Source organism: Homo sapiens, chromosome 1 (assembly GCF_000001405.40).
Source record: "Homo sapiens chromosome 1, GRCh38.p14 Primary Assembly".
Taxonomy (NCBI): domain Eukaryota; kingdom Metazoa; phylum Chordata; class Mammalia; order Primates; family Hominidae; genus Homo; species Homo sapiens.
The window spans coordinates 1,534,739-1,552,627 of NC_000001.11; the positions used below are offsets into that span (position 1 = coordinate 1,534,739).

At 61.8% G+C, this 17,889-nt stretch overlaps 2 protein-coding genes across 2 annotated transcripts in view, besides 1 other annotated feature; both read right to left on the reverse strand.

Annotated features, from left to right (window-relative positions):
* TMEM240 (transmembrane protein 240) lies at window positions 40-5,886 on the reverse strand. The gene is made up of 4 exons (NM_001114748.2): window positions 5,552-5,886; window positions 4,946-5,052; window positions 851-1,059; window positions 40-769 (listed from the first exon to the last, which is right to left on the reverse strand). Exons 1-4 carry the CDS (start codon window positions 5,606-5,608, stop codon window positions 621-623), a joined length of 522 nt encoding a protein of 173 aa, NP_001108220.1. The 5' UTR covers window positions 5,609-5,886; the 3' UTR covers window positions 40-620.
* Window positions 4,471-4,765: a silencer, noted in NCBI's record as "tiled region #185; HepG2 Repressive non-DNase unmatched - State 10:DNaseD". NCBI's record gives its function as "represses a minimal TATA promoter and a strong SV40 promoter by Sharpr-MPRA in HepG2 cells {active_cell/tissue: HepG2}" and the evidence as "EXISTENCE:reporter gene assay evidence [ECO:0000049][PMID:27701403]".
* SSU72 (SSU72 homolog, RNA polymerase II CTD phosphatase) overlaps window positions 6,935-17,889 on the reverse strand; it is a 33,191-nt gene continuing 22,236 nt past the window's right edge. The window contains exons 3-5 of the mRNA NM_014188.3: window positions 10,125-10,264; window positions 9,131-9,249; window positions 6,935-7,429 (exon numbers count right to left, since the gene is read on the reverse strand). Coding sequence (NP_054907.1) covers window positions 7,328-7,429; window positions 9,131-9,249; window positions 10,125-10,264 — 361 coding nt within the window. The 3' untranslated portion in view covers window positions 6,935-7,327. The remainder of the gene's footprint in view (window positions 7,430-9,130; window positions 9,250-10,124; window positions 10,265-17,889) is intronic.

Sequence of the window (17,889 nt, forward strand, 5' to 3'; positions counted from 1 at the left end):
CGTCCCCCTGGGGTCAAAGGTGACAGAAGAGGCGGAGGCTGGCGCTTTCTGGAGAATTTACTGACCACAGAGGGGTGGGCTTCACATGAGTGCCCGCCACTGCGGGGCCAGGGGCCTGAATGCTGCCTGGGCCCAGCCACCTGCACCCCACCCTGTGGCTGTGCACACGCGGGTGCTCCCCTCGCCCCCCTCCCCTCCGCCCAAGCTGGCTGGGGCCAGACAGACGGTGGACGCAGCGCACGGGAAACAGCGCCTTCAAACAGATGCTGGCCCGGGCCGCGCGCCTCGCCGCCCCTGCCCCCACCTGCCCCCCAGGACCCTCCCTGCCCCCCAGGACCCTCCCTGCCCCCCAGCACCGCTGGGGATGAGTCCGCCCTTGTGTCCTGCCCCCCAACTGCAGGGTCTCCCCTAACCCAACCCCCACCCTAGCCCACACCCCAACCCCCTTTATAAAAAGAAGAGACAGCACCTTCCACTGGACTCTCCCGGCCGGCCACAGCCCCGGACAACCTGGGCCCAGGGCTGCTGTCCAGTCCCGCCGGCCCGGGCGTCCACGAGGTCCCTTTTACATCTGTACAGCAGCCGGTTGGCTCGGTGGCCCCGGTAAGTCCCCGTGCGGCTCACAGGTGCCGCGGGCTGGGGTGGCCATTGTGGTAGAGTTTCTGCTTCACGTGTACCATGTTCCCGGCGGCCTCCTCGAAGGGCCTGTGCGGCCGCCGGCCCAGCTCCCGCAGGCTGCACAGCTTGGGCAGCCAGGTCCACGAGCCATCTGCGGGGGGACAGGGGCGGTCAGGCGGCTGGGGCCGGCCAGGGCGGCAGCACTCCCGGGCGGCGGGCACGAGGCACTCACCGTAGCGCCGTCCGGCTCTCCAGGCGCGCACGGCGCAGTGCAGGACGCCGTCCATCCACACCAGGAACCAGCTGATGCAAAAGCCCAGCAGCAGCCCCAGCATGAGGTCGATCTCCTGCTTGGTCACACTGTCCGTCACAAAGTAGTTCTCGGAGGCGTCCACCACCGACTGGTCCCCGTCGTACGGGATCACGTAGTGGATATGGTGCCTGGGGGCGGCAGGGCGGGCTGGCACCTCTCCCGCCACCCCCGGCCTGGCCTTCCCCCGGGGCGCCTACCCCGTGGTGGGGGTGTGACCGCGTCAGGCCGCCCTGGGGGTTCTCTGAAGCAGCCTCTTGGGCGGGCGGGTCGGGAAGGGGGCACCAGACTCAACGAGGCCCAGGTCACAGGCCAGAGGGAGTGGGAGGTCAGTGGCCATGGGCTGTGGAGGCCGAGCGTGAAGTCCGGGCAGACAGCGGGACCAGCTGCCGGCGAGGGTGTCGGCCCTCACTCAGCACCTCCTCCCTGAGGCCTGGAGCTCACGGGAAGGTGCTGCAGGTGGAAGAGGCCTCCCCCGGAGGGGGCTCAGGACGGCGGTCCCCACGGCCAGGGTCACAGCTCACCCGCCCGCCCCGGGGCCGCGGAGGCCACTTGGAGCAGAGCTGGACACAGGGAGCCCTGCTGGCCCCAGACCAGCCACTCCCATGCACCCTTCCCCCCGCTGCTGTGCCCTTTCCTCCACGGCTGCCACCGCGCCTGCCAGGCCCACTGCCCCTGGTGTTTCTTCTGCTCCTCTATCCCTGGGAGGTGCTGTCGGAGGCCACGGGGGCTCTACCCAGCACCCCATCCTCTCCCCTTCCTGGGGGACGCCCCCTTGCCCTTGCCTGGCACAGACCCGCCCCGCTCCTCTCAGGATGGACGGCGTCCAGGCTCCAGGGCCCTTTCGTCCTCAGTGCCTGCGCGCCTCCATGTCCCTCGGCCTCCCCTCCCCGGGCTCTTGGGGGAACTGCCCAGGCTCAGGCCACAACAGCCTCTGGCCTCTTGCTGCTGGGGCAACACAAGCTCCCCAAGGAGCTCGCCCCAGCAGCTCACCCTGTCCCAGGAAGGTCTCCGGGCCTTGACTCTGCCGATCGGACTGGCATCCCAGACAGTCAACTCTGGGATCCCTAGTCCAACAGGAGGGCCTGGGAGTGGAGCCCGCGGGCCCCACGCGCCTTGCGGTCCACACTCCTGGCTGCCTCCCACATCTCCGCCGAGCTCCAGCTGCCTGTGTCTCCACGTGGGATCCGCAGACACCTTAAACTTGTGCCTAAAAATAGCTCCTCTCTCCCCAGACCTGCTTCTCCCCCACCTTCCCCTCGGTGACGTAGCAGCGCCTCAGCCTGGTTTTCAGCCGAGACCCAGAGACCACCCCACCCTCCACACCCCAACCAGAAGTACTTCCCACACTGAAAGCCCAGCCTGTCCGTCCAACCCAGGGTCTTGCAGCCCTCTCCAGGCCATCCCTGTGCCCAGCGGGGACCACACAGGTGCCTTCCCTCAGTGAGATCTGGGGGGTCCTGGGGCCCGAGCCCAGGAACAGGGAGGAGGTGTCCCCTGCCCCACGCTCCCCTTGAAGCCCTCCTGCTCTTCTGGGGTTCCCGGAGGTCAGTCCCCTCAGCATATCCGGAAAGTGGCCGCTTTCAGTGGCAGGGCTCTCGGTGAGGAGTGACCATGACCGTGGCTGATTCCTGGTGGCCACCGATCACCTGGTGACGAGCCTGTCCACAGCCATCGTCCATCGTCACCAATGGGCAGCTGCTGACCACTGCCCAGAATGTGCAGCTGCCAGAGGCCCTCAGGGGAGGAAGCTGTTCCTGACCCCTTAGAGAGTCCTCACCCACCCCAGGGGCTCAGTAACTTTGGGGGTCAGAGGTCACAGCCTGTGTCCCCCACCATGGCTGGCCTGGGTACCTGTAGCTCCTCTCCCTGCACCTGGCCCTCCTTCCTGGAGGGCTCAGGTCTCCCAAGTGAAAGCAGGAGATAGGCCTGGGCAGAGATATGCTATCTGCACACGTATGTCTGTGACATGTACATACGTGTGTCCTGCCTGCACCACACACACCAGGTGTGTCCACCTGAGGCCCAGTGTACATCACGTATACACACCAGCCACATGCACGGGACATGGCGTGATACTGTGGACATGGGCCCCGGGAGCGCCACACCCCCGCCCTGTGCACGGTGTGTCACGCGAGTGCATGTTCGCTTGGCTTTGCAAAACGCAGCCACCCTCTCCACGGGGCGCCACGTCACGTGCATGGACGGATGTCTAGTTTGGACGCTGCCTGCCAACAGACTTTGGAGCATTGATTTCCATACACGTTCTCCACGTCAACGTCTACGTATAGGCACGTATGAGGCCTACACATGTACACACACTCGTTCTGAACACCAGCGTGTACACACAGGGAGCCTCTCATGGCAGTGCACGGGCATGGTGGATACGCAGATACCGCATGTGCAAGACTGCTGTCTGCACACACACTGGCTGCAGCTACACGGAGACATCTTGACATGTCCCTGAGCACACGGCACTGTATATTGTGACATACATGTACTTTGCATACACATATATGTTGTCAATATACAAGGGCACTCTGTACGCTGAACGTACATATCCTGTATGTAGAGATGTGAACAGAGCATAGATACATGGACACACACGCAGCAATACCGTCTACAGCAGGCTGTGGCTCTGCTTCCCACACACGGCTGCCTTCAGCGTGCACCCACCCGAGTCCACGCGTGCTCTGGACACGGCATGAGCCGCCCTACATGCCCTGTGCAAATACTCTAAGGCGCCTCTGCCTGCCCCGCGGAGCCCTCAGTGTGCTGCCACAGGCGGATGCACACGGCCCCAGCCCACGTGCGTGGAGGCCGCACCTTTCTGATGCTCTGGAGCTCGGGTCTGGGCCCAGCCTCCGGGAGGCAGTGGAGCCGACCTCAGGCCTTTGCTCAGCAGTCGGACCTGCCAGCCAGGGACACGGGGCTCTCTGGTAGCATGTGGCCACCCCACAAGCTCTTACCCCCTACCCTGTGCCCAGCACACGTGAGGGTCACAGACACCCCGATCTCTGCCTTCTCTAACACCCGTGTTCTTCATCGACACGCCTGCTGCACCCATAGGCATGTCACACGCTTAGCAACACATGCAGCTGTCCTGAACACACATGCCCCACACCCACACGTATGCACAGAGACCCCCGGAGCAGGAGGCAGCAGAGATGACGAACACGGGTTCTGGGCTGGTGCCCCCTTTGTCCTTCACTAGCTGTGTGACCTTGGAAAAGCCTGTCCTCTAAATCCTCCGTCCACTTCCTCATCTGTTCAGCAGGGTTAACAGCGGCCACTGCGTGAGGGTGTCCTGAGGGGTGGAAGTGCATGCGTGCGTGCGCGGGGGCTGTGTGTACGCACATGTATATGCACAGACGCCACACACATGCGCGTCTCATGAGAAGATGTTTATTTCGTACATGGACGTACAAACATGCATGGCCAAGAGGATCCCATCGCTACACGTGCACAGAGGGGGTCACACGGTGGGTGCGGGGGGTCTGGGCGCTCCCCTCAATCTGAATGACCTTGAGGAAGCTCCACCTCCCCGCTGCCCCCCCAGCCCATCCCTCAGCTCCTCTCCAGCCCGGGGGTGGTGCCCAGTGCCCCTCAAGGCAGGCCCTTCCCGCCTTGACCTGCATTCCCCTGCCCAGGGACTCAGTGCAGGGCCCAGCCCTGTGCCAGCAGGCGCTTCCTGCCCCAGCCCTGATGAGGCTGGCTTGGGTCTCCACTGTGGACATCACACTGGGCTGCGGCTTTCCGGCCTCCAGGCTGGACCAGGAGGCCCCGTGACCCATTCCGCCATCACCCTGGAGGCCTCTAGGAACGGCGTCCTAAAGCCATGCGCCCCCAGGAGACCCCCGCCCACCTTGAGACAGCTCCTCCCCCTGCGCACCTGGCAGCCCTCAAGGGTGGAAGGCGGCTCGCGGCCTGCGTGGGGCTGGTTCCCCCGCGCCCCGAGTGGGCCCCGCCACACATGTGCGCTCACGCGTGTCGAGCCGGCGCCGGTTGTGGACTCACCGGCCACAGTTGCAGTGGCAGACGCGGTCCTCGCCCCGCAGGTGCGGGAGGATGTAGTTGTGGAATCGGTCCAGCAGCGCGTTCATGTCCATCAAGCACGCGATGGCCTGGAAGAGCTCATGACCGGTCAGCGCCAAGGAGCGGGCGGGACGAAGCGGGGCTGGGGGTGGGGAGCGCAGGCCGGGGTCGGGGCAGCGCAAGCGGGGAGCGAGAGCGCAGGCCGGGGTGAGGGGAGCGTAGGCCTTGGTAGGGGGAGCGCAGCGGGTATGGGGATCGCAGGCTGGGGAGGGGAGCGCAGGCCGGGGTGGGGGGAGCGCAGGCCCGGGAGGGGACCGCGGGCCGGGGAGGGGGAAGCGCAGGCCGGGGTGGGGGGAGCGTAGGCCGGAGAGAGGAGCGTAGGGAGTGTGGGGATCGCAGGTTGGGGAGGGGAGCGGAGGCCGGGGTGGGGGAGCGCAGGCCGGGGAGGGGAGCGCAGGCCGGGGAGGGGAGCGCAGGCCGGGGAGGGGAGCGCAGGCCGCACGGGCGGTAAACAAGGCGCGGGAGGTGGGCCAGGCGGCGCGCGCGGGCGGGGAGCAGGGGGCGCGCGCGGGAAGCCCCTCCGCTCACCATCACGACCGACGCCCCCAGAATCATGAAGATCATGGTGTTCGCGCTCATGGACATCGGGCGGGGCCGGGCCGGGCCGGAGCGCCGCCCCCCGGCCCCGGCGCCCCCCCGGCCCCGGCCCGATGCTGAGCCCCCGCCGCCTCCGCAGAGGTCAGCGCTTCCCTGGATCGTCCGCCGCCGCTCGCTGCAACCCCGGCACCGGCCGGGGGGAGGAGGCGCGGGGGGGGGGGCGCCGGGGAGGGACGCGGGGCCTTTCTGGGGTCTCTCGGCCCGGCCCGCCGCGCTCCGCTCCGCCCTCGGGTCCTCCCTGCGATGCGCTCGGCTCGGCTCGACTCGGCTCCGCTCGGCTCCGGCCCCCTCCCTGCCTCCTCCTCCCTCCTCCCCCCTCCCTCCCCGCCGCCTTCCTCCGCCTCTCGGGAGGGACCGCGCAGACCGCAGGCCGCCCCGTGCCAGCGCCGGGAGGAGACCGCCATCCCCCGGACGCCGGCCGGGACCCCTCCCCGGGAGCCTCGGCTTCGCGTCCCGCCCCAGTCTGGTCAGACCCAGCCCCGGTGGCCTGTCCGGTGACCCTGGACGCCAGTCCTCCGGTCCTGGAGGGGCGCCGAGGCCCTTCCCGCCCCACTGCTCCGCCCTACGTCCTGGACTCCCAGGTCGCCGGGTGCGGGACTGCCCCAGTCCGCTCGGCACGCACGTGCCTCCAGGGTGGGGTCCGCAAGGTCGCGACAGCCCCACGGCCGTGGGGGCCACAGGTCAGGGACGGGATGACCCCTGGAATCCTCAACGGAGGGATGTGGCACAGGAGCCGAGGGCAGGGCCGCCCCGCACAGGCTTCCCTTAGGGCGGGGACGAGGGGGTCAGCCCAGGCCCATGGGTCGGGACGCCGGCCATTCAGAGGCCCAGTGGCCACCACTCCGCTGTGGCTGTCCCTGGCTCGGGGTCCTGAGGCCAAACTCTCATCCACGACCGGTGACCATGTCTCAGGCCCGGGAGCCGACCCCCGGCCTCAGCAGGAAGTCAGCGGGAAGCTATGCCTGGGACCCAGCCTGGGTCGTGGCGCCATCCAGGCTCACTGCAGCCTCCACTCCTGGGCTCAGGCGATCCTCCCGGCTCAGCCTCCCCCGTAGCTGGCCTTGGGGGATCCCCGCCCGGGGGGGTTCCACATGGAGAGGGGACGCCGCTCCACCACAGGCAGCAGTTGTGGCAGGAGCAGGCGGCTTCCGCTTCAGGCAGCACAGGCACGGGTAGGCCCAGACCCTGTCAGCACCACCAGGTCTGAGCTACTCCTCCCAAGCAGTGGTCGGAGGTCACTGAGGGCGGCAGGGCTAGGCCTCTGCCACCTCCTCAGGGGCGAGGGTCGGGCCAGGAATTCAGGACCAGGCACAATGACAGCAGCATCTGTTTATTGACAATTCCAGGTCATTCCTAACACGCCGCAGCAGGGCTCTGTACAGTCCGGCCCGGTGGGGAGGAGGGAGGGAAGGCAGGCACACGAAGACACAGGTATGTCGGGAAGTGCACACAAACCGTTGTCTTTCCTTTTTGGTTAAAGAAGAAAAACTTTGTAATCAATATCCTGCTCATAAGTAAAAGTGGAAAAGAAGAAACTTGATTGCTTTCATCTGGCGTTTTGGCATCTCCTCTCCCATTTCATATGCACAGTTTATTTGGGTAATGCTACCGTCACCAGCAGAACACCTGTAAGTAAAAACAAATGTCAGGAAGGAAAAAGTATGAACAACAGGAAGCTCCAGAGGCGGCTCCATGCGGGCGCTGGGCTCAGTAGAAGCAGACGGTGTGCAGAAAGGTGCGGCCACTCTTCTCCTCGAACTCCTGCAGCAGCTCGTCGATCTCGTTCTCCATGTCTTCCGTGTGCTGGATCTGCAAGGACAGGACCGTGGTGAGGGCCTTGCCCACTCCTGCCTGTCTGCTCCCCCTAACACCTGGATCGCCAGGGAAACGCCAGGCCTGAGCCAGCAGAAACCAGCGCAGCAGGCAGGCCCTCACCCCACCGCTGCTGCCTCACAAGGACGGCCGGAGGCTGCAGGGGGAGAGCGTCCCGGGCAGCCCCCACCTCCCCACCGACCCTCACAGGACCTGAAGCTGGGAGGAGCTGGGAGGAGCCTGGAGCTGGATTCTGAGAGGGGCCCAGCACGGAGACCTGGCGGCCAGGGCTCAGACCCACACATGCACAGCGGGGCCGACCAACCCTCACCGCCAGCGCTTCCACACCACCAACAAGCGAGCGGGGGCAGCCTGGTCATCGGAGCATCCTGGCCTCCATCCACCAGAGCCCCTGGCAGAGGGCCGCTGCCCCAGAGTGAGCAGGCCCGGCTCCTAGGCACACCTGCCCTGGCACCGGCAGCTCGTTACTCGCCATCTCCACTGTCCCCTGGTCCCCAGCCTTGGCCAGCACCCAGTGCCTCTAAGCAAGGAGCGGCCTGTCTGTGACTCAGCTCTGGCCAACGTGACCCAAGCAGAAATCGTGCAATAACTTCTGGGACGACATTTTCTTATGACCTTTTCTCCTGCCAGGCGATCATGAAGACCGTCCCTGGCGCTTCAGCAGCCACACTGGACCGTGAGGCACGTGGGGACCAGAAGCCATGCTGGGTGGGCCAGGCGGAGCGCAGGAGCCTCTGCGGCCACACAGCAGCTTCTCCCAGCGCCCGCCCGCCTGGCTCCCGGGCTTTCCAAACACACCATCTTCTTTCTTGGTGAAGCTGTTCTGTTTTTCTGTCTTTCACAGACATTCATCAAATCACAGAGGCAGAGGCAGAGGCAGAGGCGGGACGGTGCGTGGGGCTCTCCTCAGGCAGGTCCTTTCGTCACAGCCCAGCACCTCCACGCCGCAGCAGGGTGGCTACAGAAGCCTTGGGGTGCCCCGGCCCCTCTGTGCAAGGGAGACATGCAGGGCCCACTGGGGAAGGCAGGTGTGCAGAAGGCCAAGTCCAGGGGTGGACGGCGGACACAGAGCCCTTGGCAGCCTCCAGGCTCACGTGGGGCACACCTCCGACTGCACCGCATCCCGGAGAGCTGCATGCTCTGCTCACTGAGGTGGGGCTGTGTCCGCCACGGGGAAGAGACAAGGTACCAGGCGTTCCCTGGAGCCGTGTCCTGGGAGAGGGACTAAGCCTGTGTTGGGGAGGTCCCTGTGCAGCGTCTCTCAGCTGAGCAAAGGGCATTGCAGGGGGGCCTCCTGTGCCAAAGCTGTGGAGTGACTCACTGAACTACCAGCAGGCGCCCCCGACACAGGCGAGCTGAGCAGACCTTGCCCCAAGCAGCAGGGCCGGCCTCAGGTCTCGGCCACTCCCCTCTGTCACGGCCTCGGCCACTCCCCACTGTCACGGCCTCGGCCACTCCCCTCTGTCACGGCCTCGGCCACTCCCCACTGTCACGGCCTCGGCCACTCCCCACTGTCACGGCCTCGGCCACTCCCCTGTCACGGCCTCGGCCACTCCCCTCTGTCACGGCCTCGGCCACCCCCTCTGTCACGGCCTCGGCCACTCCCCTCTGTCACGGCCTCGGTCACTCCCCTCTGTCACAACCTCTGCCCAGCGCGGCGCCCAGCCGGGTACTTACACACTGGCAGAGCTCACAGATGAGAAACGCCCCCAGGGTGGCCTCCTCGTGGTTGTCCTGGATGTCCACATTGACCACGTGCACAGGCTGGCAGGTCTCCTGTTCTCTGGAATTCAGATCTGATTGGGACAAGGTGACACAGACGTCAGAGGCTCCAAAACCAGGGAACAGGCAGTCAATGTGGCTGAGTCCCCAGCTCTGCCGGCTGCAGGCCCAGCCCAGCCCCAGTGGTTTCTGGACTCTGCAGTTTGGGGAGCACAATGAATGAGCCTCAAACCGAAGGCGGCTGATGGTTCGAGGAAACCTGAGCAAATCTCCAACTCAGCACAAGCTGGTCTGGGACTCCCCACCCACCAGCCAGTCCTGGGGTGAACCGTGACTGGCATTGCGACCCTTCCCCGTCACTAAAGACCAGCCCTCCCTGCTCCACCGCCAGCTCCACACAGGGTCCATCCGCTTGAAAAATGGGCCTGGCGCGGTGGCTCTCGCCTGTGATCCCAGCACTTTGGGAGGCTGAGGCGGGCGGATCACTTGAGGACAGGAGTTCAAGACCAGCCTGGCCAACATGGTGAAACCCCGTCTCTACTAAAAATACAAAAATCAGCTGGGTGTGGTGGCACACGCCTGTAGTCCCAGCTACTCGGGAGGCTGAGGCAGGAGAATCACTTGAACCCGGGAGGCAGAGGTTGCAGTGAGCCTAGATTGTACCACTGCACTCCAGCCTGGCGACAGAGCACGACTCTGTCTCAAAAAACAAAACAAAAAAACACCAAGGAGAAAAGAGGCCCCTTGAAGCCCATGAGGCTGCAGCCAGCACATGGGTGGTTCAGCGACCAGCGGCCCTGCCTGCCTTCCAGGGTGCTTCACACTCAGGTCTGCTCCCCGGCCCCCGCCACTCTAGACGGGCTGTACTGGTCATGGTGGGGCCCTGCAGGCATCCCCAGACCCTGTGAGAGCTGCTGGAGCCCAGCCCAGCACGCAGCCGCCTCCTCACCTTCCACCACCTGGTCATACACTCTCTCTTCGCAAGTGAGGATCAGATCAAACAGGTCTTTGCAGTTCTGGAATCTTTCTGGCCGGGGCTTGATTCTCTTATTTCTGTCCAGCATATGTAAAATCCCATTCTGTGTATAGCTACACATGGGAGTTAAGGAACGTCAGAGAAAAGGCATCTGTGTATGAAGCCTGGAAGCGCCTGTGTCCTGGACACCCAGCCCCTTCCCTGCCCCACAGCAGAGGCAGCCGGGACGAAGGCCTGGACAGCGGAGTGGGCCATGCCCTGGTGAGGCAGGGGCCTCACTGTCCTAGGAGGTCCCACAGAAAACAAAGTGGGCGATGGCAGGTGCTTGCTCCTCGCTGTCCCCCAACTCGGCAAAAAGACCCAAGGCCCGCAGGACACCCCCCGCCCCCGCCCAGCATGACACCTTCTACCCAGACCTCTCCCCTCACTGCTGGCCCGGCCCAAGCTGCCCTTGGCCTCAGTCACTGTGTCTCCGCAGTCGGATCCTTCTTCCTCCCTCTGCTCCCTGTGCAGTGCATGCTGGCTCTGAAACCTCAGCCCTTCAGCAGAGACAAAGCAAACCCGGAAACCCAGTCCCCAGTCTAGCTCAGCTACAACAGAGTCAAGAACATCGGAAAACCCAAAGAAAGGAAGCTCCAGGCCGGGCGCAGTGGCTTATGCCTGTAATCCCAGCACTTTCGGAGGCCGAGGTGGGCGGATCACGAGGTCAGGAGACCGAGACCATCCTGGCTAACACGGTAAAACCCCGTCTCTACTAAAAATACAAAAATTAGACGGACATAGTGGCACATGCCTGCAATCCCAGCTAATCGGGAGGCTGAGGTTGCAGTGAGCCAAGATCATGCCACTGCACTCCAGCCTGGTCAACAGAGCAAGACTGTCTCAAAAAGAAAAAGAAAAAAAAACAGAAGGTTCAGCAGCAATCAGCCTGGAAAACGCTGATACAAAAACCAAGAGGGCAAGACAGTCGAGGAGGGAGATGCCACAGCCTCACTGACTATGGGATGGTGGAGGGCAGGATGAGGCCTGAAGGCACTTGGCGTCCAGCCCAGCTGAAAGGGGGCCTTGGGGTGAACGCTGACACACACCGGCCCCAGCAGTCCCAGGAAGGGGCCACAGGAGCCTCTGGGGTCCTCAGGGTGGGGCATCCTCCCACCATCCACAGTGGCCATGCCTGGCCTCAGGGGTTCCCAAGGAAGGGGCTCACTTCCCCAAAAAGAGAGACTGGGTTCCCAAAGATGAGCTCTGTGGTCTGCAGGAGCTCATTTGAGCCATTCCAGATGGTCAGGGACAAGTAACCACTTTCAGATAAACAGCCTAGCTGACAGGAATTCTAAGTGAACTCAGCTACCTTCCTGGGTAGCAAAAATAGTTTTTATAATAGTTTTATAATACATTGAAGTGGTTGATCTAACGGCATCTGACCCTGAGCTGCATCCTTGGGTCACTGTCAGCAGCGTGGAAGTCACACACCCACCCCTGACGTGTGTCTCCTCCTGCACATTGGAGTCCCGCCTGTGTCCCCGAGGCCCCTGGAAGCAGCTATGACACCCGGGTCCATCTCTGGGGAACTTAGTCCTTCAGCCGCTGAGAATCAAAGTCTGCGGAAAGAAGAGCTCGAGGCCGGGTGCGGCGGCTCACGCCTGTCATCCCAGCATTCTAGGAGGCCGGGCGTGGCGACTCACACCTGTCATCCCAGCACATCGAGAGGCCGAGGCGGGTGGATCACCTGAGGTCAGGTGTTTGAGACCAGCCTGGCCAAGATGGTGAAACCCCGTCTCTACTAAAAATACAAAAGTTAGCCAGGTGGGGCGGCACACACCTGTAATCTCAGCTACAGCTACTCAGGAGGCTGAGGCACGAGAGTTGCTTCAACCCGGGCGGCGGAGGTTGCAGTGAGCCGAGATCACACCACGGCACTTCGGCCTGGGCGACAGAGTAAAACTCCTTCTGGAAAACAACAACAACAACAAAAAAAAAAAAAAAAAAAAAAAAGGCCGGGCGCGGTGGCTCACACCTGTAATCCCAGCTACTCGGGAGGCTGAGGCAGGAGAAGCTTGAACCTGGGAGGCGGAGCTTGCAGTGAGCTGAGATCGTGACACTGCACTCCAGCCTGGGCAACAAGAGCAAGACACCGTCTCAAAAAGAAAAGAAAAAAAAGAGCTCAAGACGGCCTGACCTTGTTGTGTGCAGCCACATGCAGAGGGGCAGGTGCAGGGACCGGCTCACGGAGAGGAACCGGGGTCAGGGTGCAGGGGTCCAGTGGCAGCTTCATGGTGGGCACAGGGATCACCCTCCCTGCACATCCCTGAGCAAGACACAGCCGGGGGTGAGGCCGTGGGGGCTCCTGGGGATGGGACTGGTGTCACTGGCTGGCAGAGCTCATGGACGTTCAAGGCCAGCTCTTCCCTGAGGCCTGGACAGTTCTAAGTCCTTTCCTCCTTTACGTCATTCTCAACTATTTATGTAGATGAGGCAATAAATTAAGAATCATTCAGTTAAGGAGAAATGTCTACTTCAGGGACAAAGCAGCAGCCTCCTCAGCTACACAAGGATGAGCGAGCAGCCACCCTTCTGGATCTCCTGGCGAGGAGATGCGAGGTGAGGCCCCGCCCAGAGGGCTAGACCTGCAAGCCCCACCAGAGGCTGTGAGGACCTGAGGAGGACCAAAGGGACCACAGACCAAGCCATGAGCTCACAGGGACGCAAGATCCCACCTGAATTCCGGCAGCAAAACCACGGTGCCAGTGAGTGCCACGAGGCAAAGGCTCAGAGCAAGGCGAGAGGACAGGAGCCGCTGGCGGGTGAGGCGGGGCCTTCAATAGACAGGCTCAGGGCCACGGGGAGGCTGAGCAGGTTTCGGGCCTGCGTGCGAGAGCCTGCTCTTCAAGTCATGGGGAAATCCTTTCTGAAGGAAGAACCTAAGTACTGCCGGGCGGGAGGAAGGGGAGAGAGGCGCCATCGGAACAGAAACCTGTCCCATCTTCCGGACACCTGCGCCGCCCAGGTCCTGCAGAAGTCCCACTGACGCAAAGCGTTCGACATTGAACCCACAAAGAAAGAAACCAAAGACTCAGCCCGGGCAAGAAGGCGACACCAGGCGGAGGGCCTGACCCATGCTAGGGCCCCAACTGGGCATGAGGGCCTGAAACGTACCCAGAAAAGTGGGCCAAGAGAGGGCCCAGGGCAGGGCAGGCAAAGAGGATGTGCCATCCATAGAATCGACTGCCCCCATTGGACTCCCAGGGCCTGGACATCCGGCTTTGCACAGTCCCTGCGGCCTCAGGGACCACGTTCAGTAGAGGGCGGCCAACACCCGAAGGCCATGAAACAGAGGCACACAGGAGCCTCAGCTGAAGTTAACACACATCTAAGAAATAAACTCCCAGCTGGGCGCGGTGGCTCACACCTGTAATCCCAGCACTTTGGGAGGCTGAGACAGGCGGATCACAAGGTCAGGAGTTTGAGACCAGCCTGGCCAATATGGTGAAACTCATCTATACCAAATTACAAAAATTAGCCAGGCGTCGTGGCAGGCGCCTTAGTCCCAGCTACTCTGGAGGCTGAGGCAGGAGAATTGCTTGAAGCCAGGAGGCGGAGGCTGCACTGAGCTGAGATCATGCCACTGCACTCTGGCCTCGGTGACAGGAGCAAGACTCTGTCTCAAAAAAAAAAAAAAAAAAAAAACTCCCAAGGATGGGCCAAGAAAATTGTCCAGAGGTGAGATGTGGCAGCCACGGGGTGGGGTGCTGGGGGTGGGTGCAGTGGGCAGGCCCCTCCCCTGCCCTGGCTTCCACATGGACCGCGGTGAGGAAGGTAGCTCCGCTCACCCACTCTGCGTCCTCCCACTCGCCCCCGGAGGCCTTCTGGACTTTGGCGTAAACAGGAGGAGCAGGCCCATCAGACCCTTGAGTGAGATTCCCATGGGTTGAGCACGTGTGGCCAATCCCGAGAGGCCACCGGCCAGCATGAGCCAATGTCCTGGCCCTCCCTGCCCTGTTGGTGTCACTCCCGTCCCACAGTGACGTCTGGAACCCTCCCCCGGTGTGTGGCTGCATGGCCTCCTGAGTCTGGGGATGGGAGAATAAGGCTTGTGCTGGAGGCCTTGGGCTGTGACACATACCTGTGGTCCCAGCTACTCGGGAGGCCGAGGCAGGAGGATGCCTTGAATCCAGGAGGGACCCAGAGAGATCTGGAATATTGTCTCATGCAACAGAAAGTGTCATCAACACAGAATCACGTTAAAATTCTGTGGGGGACTAACCATCAGAGAAACAAACTAAGCTTTCTGTCCACACAGAGCAACAAAGAAACCCTGCCTCTACAAAAAATAAAAAATTACCAGCCTGGGGCCGGGCACGGTGGCTCACGCCTGTAATCCCAGAACTTTGCGAGGCCGAGGCAGGTGGATCACAAGATCAGGAAATCGAGACCATCCTGGCTACCACAGGGAAACCCTGTCTCTACTAAAAACACAAAAAATTAGCCAGGCGTGGTGGCAGGCGCCTGTAGTCCCGGCTACTCAGGAGGCTGAGGCGGGAGAATGGCGTGAACCCGGAGGCGGAGCTTGCAGTGAGCAAGATCGCACCACCGCACTCCAGCCTGGGGGACAGAGCGAGACTCTGTCTCAAAAAAAAAAAAGAAAGAAAAAGAAAAAAAAAGGCTGCAGCCAGGCATGGTGGCTCACACCTATAATCCCACCACTTTGGGAGGCCGAGGCGGATGGCTTATCTGAGGTCAGGAGTTCGAGACCAGCCTGACCAATATGGCAAAACCCTGACTCTACTAAAGTACAAAAATTATGGCTGGGCGCAGTGGCTCACGCCTGTAATCCCAGCACTTTGGGAGGCCGAGGCGGGTGGATCACAAGGTCAGGAGATCGAGACCATCCTGGCTAACATGGTGAAACCCCATCTTTACTAAAAATATAAAAAATTAGCCGGGCATGGTGGCGGGTGCCTGTAATCCCACTGCTCAGGAGGCTGGGGCAGGAGAATAGCTTGAACCCAGGAGGTGGAGGTTGCAGTGAGCCGAGATTGCGCCTCTATACTCCAGCCTGGGTGACAAGAGCGAGACTCTGTCTCAAAAAAAAAAAAAAAAGATGGCAAAACCCCGTCTTCTCTACTAAAAATACAAAAATTAGCCAGGCATGGTGGTGCACACCTGTGATTCCAGCCTCCTCCGGAGGCAGAGGCACAAGAATCACTTGAACCTGGGAGGGGAGATTGCCATGAGCCGAGATCACATCACTACACTCCAGCCTGAGACAGAGCGAGAGTGTCTCAAAAAAAAAAAAAAAAAAGTATATATATATATATGTATATAAATCATGGCATCCAAGACAAGTCCACATGCCACCCAACCAGCAGACAACCCCCGCCATCCTCCACGCCAGCCCGGCTGGGGGTAGCTGGTGCCTCAGAGGGGCCACCCTTCAGGGTTCTTGGCAACGTGTTATTCTGAATGTCTGCTCTTTTCTTTCGAGTTAAGGCACATTTGTTCAATTTTAATTCAGGCAATTTTCAGCAGACATGAGTTTAACCCTAACCATGACTTTCCTGGCTAAGCCTAATGCTTTTGACCCTCCAGCAATTCCCAGACACCAGCGGACACCACAGGCCCTTTGCCAGCACTCAGAGAATCAGTGCCTGGGCCCTTGCCTCTCGCCAGACCCCACGGGGCCTTGAGCCCCGGGCCCCAGGCTGCTGGCCCCCCTCAAGTGCCTGCCAGGGATGGTCCCGGGCCCAGGGAGTCAGGACGAGGCAGTGATCTCGCCTGGCAGAGCCTCAACACTGTTCTGTTGTGGGAGGAAGATGGAGGGAGGGCGGAGGTTTAGCAAAGCACCACACCAGGGAGGACAAGCCTGCCGGAGCCAGGGACCATGGACTGGTGCCGGCCGGAAGGCCTGGTGGTTCATCAGCAGGAAGGCTGCACCCACCACTCACTCCACTGAACCATCACCCACCACACGCCCCTCCCTCCCTGCTGGGCCTGGGAGGTGCACAGACCCTGGGGCATCTCGTGGTCTAGGACCTCCTCTTAAGCTGGACTGAGTTGGGCCCAGGTTTCTGCTGTGGACACATCCACCCCCCAGAAAGCTCCTGTCCTGCCAGCGCCCCCAGGCTGCCCGGGCCTTCAACAACCTCTACAGGGCAGAGCAGGCCTGGCTGCTTCCCCAGGCCAGCTGCACGGGGACCTTCCATGTGGGTTAAATGTCCACACCCCAGGCAAAGCCTAAAGCACACACTGGATCTGGACACACACTGCTCCCTGCAGGCAGAAACAAGGCTGCAGTCCCAGCCATGGAGAAGCCACACACGTCTCCCAGAGGCTGCGGGAGGTATAAATAGCACCATTTGTAGGAATGAAAAAACAGTAATGAAAACTAGAAAAATAAGCCCCACAGTAAAGACACTCAGTGTGTGGCCCACAGCTCTCCAGCCTGCCAGGCATGGGGAGGACCCCAGAGGCTGCAAAGGGAACAGCAGCAGGGTGAGCCCCTGAGCAGGCACGCTGGGCAGCTTCTCCCCAAATCACAGCACCCAAGCTGCTTTTGTTGGGCTACAATCAGCAAAAAATGAATTGAGAAGTACAAAGTAAATTTCACTTGCGATCAAATTCTACCTACGTGTGTGTGCCAGCTGCACCAAATGCTACCTGTACACTCAGATTCCCAGAGCCCATCCCCACTGGTCAGGGAGGGGGAGGCCTGACAGCTGCTGCACTGGGCGCTGCTTCCCGAGCTCCCATCCTGCCCACCAGCCTTTCTCGACCAGGGTCCCGATTCGCGGACGCCAACGGCCCAACCTATCTCTGCCCCAAATCCACGTGGGACACAGCACCCATGTCCAGGGACATCCTGAACGTTTTGCCCATCCTTACGCCAACGTCACATCGCCCCGAAGGCCTGAGGGAGGGTGGTGGGGCCCGAGGCCTGTGCTCACCCCATGCAGGCAGGGCCACGCCGGGCCACCACTACCTTTCCCAACAATGGCCCGGTGTGGGCAGCCCAGTGACTCAGATCCTGTCCATAATGCAACAGAGCACAGCAAAGTCAGCCCCTAAACTCATCAGGAACCTTCCAATTCAGGGGATCCCCAAGCCGGCACCCCCACATCTTCCACTAATGTATCAGCAACTCCCCTGGAAACCGAGTGTGAGGCTGACCAGCGTTCCGACCCGGCACTCTGCTACACGTGTGCAGCAGCAGATGCTCTGGAGGGCGCCGGCTGCCCCAGGGCAGACCATCCTCACGCTGGCCGCGTGGACGCAGGGCCACAGCTTCCTCCGCGAAGCCCTCTGCTTGCTCAACGGCACCTGCACAGGGAGGTGAGGTCACTTCCAGAGGCCCTGGGAAAACCAGAGAACTAGGCCGTCCCATTTTTCTCAAAGGTAACCACTCCCCACACAACTGGTACTTACACAAGTGGCTCTGCACAGTTTCTGTGATCGTCCCTGTGCGGCCTCCTCCTTAGGGACCGGGAGGTGCTGGCAGTGAGGTCAAAGGTCAGGGAGCAGGAACCTGCCTGGGACCCCCTTCGATTTTAGGGCCTCCTGACAAATGATCCGGTGTGACTGACAGCACCTTCTACCAGGGTCTTGGTGCCTGAGCTGTGCCCCACGCCCAGAGGGCGATTCCTCCCGAGCCCCCAGCTCAGAGCCTGAGCTCCAGGGCAGGGCCATCTGCCTGCAAGTGACTGCTCTCCATGGCCCTCAGGACGGTGTCTCCTTCCTGAAC

Coding starts and splice junctions, on each gene's coding strand:
- TMEM240 (NM_001114748.2), bottom strand. CDS start 5,608: ATGTCCATGAGCGCGAACACCATGATCTTCATGATTCTGGGGGCGTCG. Junction 5,053..5,551: donor TGGGGGCGTCGGTCGTGATG/GTGAGCGGAGGG, acceptor GAGCTCTTCCAG/GCCATCGCGTGCTTGATGGA. Junction 1,060..4,945: donor TGCCACTGCAACTGTGGCCG/GTGAGTCCACAA, acceptor TGCCGCCCCCAG/GCACCATATCCACTACGTGA.